A 4703-nucleotide genomic window follows, 5' to 3' on the forward strand; every position below is an offset into this window, starting at 1 on the left:
CAGGAAGAATGAGGGTGTGTGTATTTACTTCATACTGGTAGAGACACATGAAAATGACCAGTCTTGGGGTACAAACACCTACCCTGAGCTGTTCTACAGAAGTTCCATATGGTATTGATCTTGATAAAGCATCTTGGGCTTTGGGAAATAGGTTCTGTTGTATATAGATGGGATGGCTGCCTGCTGAGGTGGATGGAAGAGGATGGATCCAGACAGAGACCAATCCCTGTAGATGTACAGGGAGTTTCCCTGGTGAGGTATGAAACCCACACTGTGAAGGATAAAGATAGTGAATATTTCTCTGAAATATTTTTCTAAAACAAGACGCCTGTACATATTTTCCTTCCTTTGTTGCTGAAAACAATCTATTTAGTATCTAACATTAAGGGTCTTATTCTCAATGTTGAAATACCATTAATTATCCCCAAAGTAAATAGTCTTTGATAGCATAGCACATGTGTATTAGTAGAGTTATATAGAGTTAAGAGCCAGGCAGTAAGGGAAAGGGGTCTTCTACATAAAATGTCTCTCAAAGTCAATACGGTAGCACCAATATCTACCGGAAAGAAAAGAGTGGTCCAAAGTTCTAGGTATCGGGCATGAGAAAGTGAATAAAGGCTCAAAGCAACAAGAGCAAGGGTGGATTTATATTTCTACAAAGCAGCAGCTGCCTCAGGGACAACTCCTGAGCAGACACGGAGGCAAATTTCCCTTCTCACAAATACTCTAGAGGAAGTTTTTCCTTTTTTCCATTATTATTAGTTATTATGATTCTGCTTATCATTAAATTATTCTATAAATATTTATGCAATTGAATAAACGGAATAATTTATTTACTCTACCAATATTTACTGAGTGCTGAGTCTCAGGATATACAATACTTGCCCCCAAACATATACGCATATATATTCCCATATGCACACATATTCCCATACCTGCCCATATAGAAGTATGTTTGCACATACCGATACATGTACACATGTATGCAGAGTCACCCAATGTACACACACACATCGATACAGGAGGATACACACTCCACAGACTTGGAAGATCAGACACAAGCTACAGTGTTGATGACTTAAGATCCCAGAAGTTTGCCCAGGTAGCCCTGGCAAAGGCAGACCCTCTTGGCTTCATGGATGCTGACTCCTCCCAGTTATGTGCTCTAGCTCCGAGCACACCTGCAAAGCAACAGCCCTACTTTCTTTCCTTTCCTGATAGCACCAGGGACCTCCTAAGGGGAGTTTTGAGCCAGAATCTTTTACTTCGAAGGGACAGGAACAATTTTTCAGGTACCTGGGTCTTGGGCTAAAGATTGCTAGGTCAGTTTCAGTCCCCGTGAAATTTCAGCTACTTCTTCTGCCTTATGCTTTCACTGTATCCCACGTTGTCAGTTACTTGGCTGGCTGTTGGGGCACAGAGAGGGAGCATTCCTCTGAGGGTTGTTAAGGCACAAGAAAAACCAAAAAGAAATAAAATTGCATGGATAAAGAATGATAAATATAAAAGCAGATAAAGACTCAAATGGAAGAGAGAAAGGAAGCCCTAAATAGTAGATGAAGAATAAAATCAGTTGTCAAGGGACATGATGGAGTGGAGACAAGGATTAGAACATTGAGCAAGTCAAATCCAAAGATTAGGAATCTCAGCTGGTAAATGTTGAAAAAGCAGTAGGAGAGTTTGTTCCTTGCATTCACAACCTGGTGTGTCTTGCCAAGCAGCTTATTGAAAACTCCAATCAGCAGACCCAGCTAAATAGAATAAAAGGTTATTTTAAATTGTACATTTCAAACACAAATTTAAAGGTAAGCATTAGAATCAAAATATACATATGTAGCCAACAGGTTTCATGTTCTCATATGTGTATATATTGAACATCTAGCAGAGCAGATTGGATATCTGGCTGAAATATTTTGTTTTTCCTTGAGTTTTGGGGCCACACAGGTCTAGACTGTGTATGTACTTGTGCACTGAGAAAACCTGGTAAATGGTAAACCAGAACAATCAATGAGAAATAAAAGGGATGGGGTTTCTAAAAGTGAACAAATGACAAAAATCGAGGCATTCTTTTGCAACACACAAAAATGAATATATTACATTTCCATGTCCTTTTTTGGTATTTTTTTTTCTGTTTTAGGGAACAGAAACACTTTATCTTAGACACTTTTATAAGTGCAGGCTAATTGTTTCCAGCTCAGCTTCCCTATATTTGGAGGATTTTCACAATGACAAAACCATTCTCTATTTTTCAGACTCTTTCTTTTCTTATATAATGAAAATGTTGGTGATCTGCTGACATGTATAATCAATGAGGTTATAAATATGATAGTAAGAAAAGAAATTGTTTTGTTACCTTCAAAATAGTCTGTACTCATTATTACATAATTAGCAAATAAAATAATATCTGTATTTAACATTAATAAGGAATAAATATGAGCATTTTGAAATTAGCTATCAATATGCTTAGTTTAAGTTCTTTTTTAAAATTTAACCTGTTTAGAACCTTGTAATACTTACTACCCATTACCAGAGATAGTTGAGTACAATTTGACTCAGCCAATAAAGTTATTTAAGACTACTGACTAATTGCAAAAAATGTTGAAGATGATATAACAATTTATAAATATTTTTTATATTAATAGGATACCACACCAGGATTTATTCCCCGCTCTTTACTTCAAAATACTTCACAGAGTGTAGTCCTATAGAAGCCAAGGGAAAAAATATTCCAAGGATGTATTGGTTTACAAAACCAAATACCATAGAATGCAAGTCGGATAACTTCTGACAAACTCTCCATGATCTGGGAAATAGGAGATCCTTGGCATTCCTTTCTGCAAGACATGTTGAAGGAATGAAGAGAGCAAGATCTAGGTTACTTAAGGTTAAGGACTAAGAGCTGGGTAGGTAGAAGCTGAGAGTAAATAAAGAGAAAATCTCCTTCTGGCTGTACCAGTTAGCAAAGGCTAGGTGACACTATGAGAACAAACAACCCCTAAGCATCAGTGGCTTCATGTAGATTTGTTTCTCACCTACGCTACATGTCCACCACAGGTCGGATGGAAAGTCTCGTAATCAAACACAGGTAGCTGAGCCCACAGAGTCTCCATCTCAACACACTCATTCACAATCTCCATGGTAGGGACAAAGAAGATGGGGCAAAAACACAGCAATTTAAAGCTTCAACCTGGGAAAGACACCACTGCTTCTCCCACGTCAAAATAAGAATGTCCTACCCTTTGCATTTTGTGCCTGCTCTAGAGTTATTACCCCTGGAGGTCATAAGTGTATAGATGTGTATTCACATGAGTTTCCATCACTAGGTTATGCTGCCTTGAGGGTAAGAAGTCTGCTAATCAACTTTTTATCATTCCAGTGCCTACCAAGATGTCTGTCCAATTGCATACATCTAGGTTTATTTTAATGCAAAGTTGCTGGGTCTCTTTCTTTTTTACTTCTCAAGTAATTTCACACAGATTAGGGGCCCAGCTACAGAGCTGACAGATGGCATTGTGTATAATCAGCAGACATCACAGAATTTGGAATGTCGGAGAGAATTGTCTTTATGCAATCAACGGACTGAGACAAGGCCTTGATGGATATAATCCTGACAGTTGCTTACCCAGAGGGTCCCATCCCATCTTTAAATCCACCCCCACTCCTATCCCTACTCCTGACTCCCAGGAGTCTTGGTTTACTGCCCTGGAGAAAACCAATCTATGAATCAGAGAATGTCAGCTCTGGCAGGGATCTCAAAATGTCCCGAATCCTTATATTTCTAAGGAACTTAGAGTTCAACGAAGGTGATCTGTCACTGGAATCAAATGAGATCAACCTAAGGGAAATCCCACTACATGTCAAGCAATAAATTACCTATTCTACGCACATTATCACATTCTCTTCTATAAACAAACCCATGAGGTATGTTCCCAGCTCTTGCTGGGGAAAAATAAAAGCTCCAAAATTGAATTTTCTCCATTATAAGATTTCCTCACACAACTTTTCTTAAACTTTTAGCTCATACTACAGCTAGTCTGCTGGCAAGTAATAAATTAAATAAAAATTTCGTAGCTTTATATCATACCTGTTATCAAGTGTCTCTACTCTCTCTACTCGGCCGGGCAGGCTCACCCTTTATGCTGTATATGCTAGGTAAACCTAGGTGATTTTTATCAGACTTATACATGATTTCTTTAAAATATGTGGCATTCTCATTTGAGATTCAGAAAGGTGAGTAACTGTTGAAATAAGTGTAGAAAATAAGACTTTTTTCTAGAAAAAAAAATGTTTTCTGTTGGTATACAGGAATTAAATAATTTCATCGCATTTGGGACAAAGCACCCAAATTTCCTGTTGCTGCACTACATAAACAAATTTGGGAACCCTGCTCCACTCCAAGCCCTTTATTTATAGATGAGGAAAGCAATACTTAGAGAAAATAAGGGACTTACCCTAAGCTATAAAATAATTTAGTGGCAGAGACAAGACTAGAACTCATTCAACTCATTCCCTTAGATCCACGTTTAGTGCTCTTCACTCCCACAACACAGAAATAGCACACCTGTGCTTAGGGCCTGGAATCCGGGTTCTCTTAGTTAGTGACTATTGTTAGTGTGCAGTAAGAATTTATCTGAATTTGAATTCTGAAAAGGCCATCGGGAGGGGGAAATGCTTCAATAGAACAATTTCTTTCTAAATACACA

Source organism: Homo sapiens, chromosome 2, assembly GCF_000001405.40.
Source record: "Homo sapiens chromosome 2, GRCh38.p14 Primary Assembly".
Classification (NCBI taxonomy): Eukaryota; Metazoa; Chordata; class Mammalia; order Primates; family Hominidae; genus Homo; species Homo sapiens.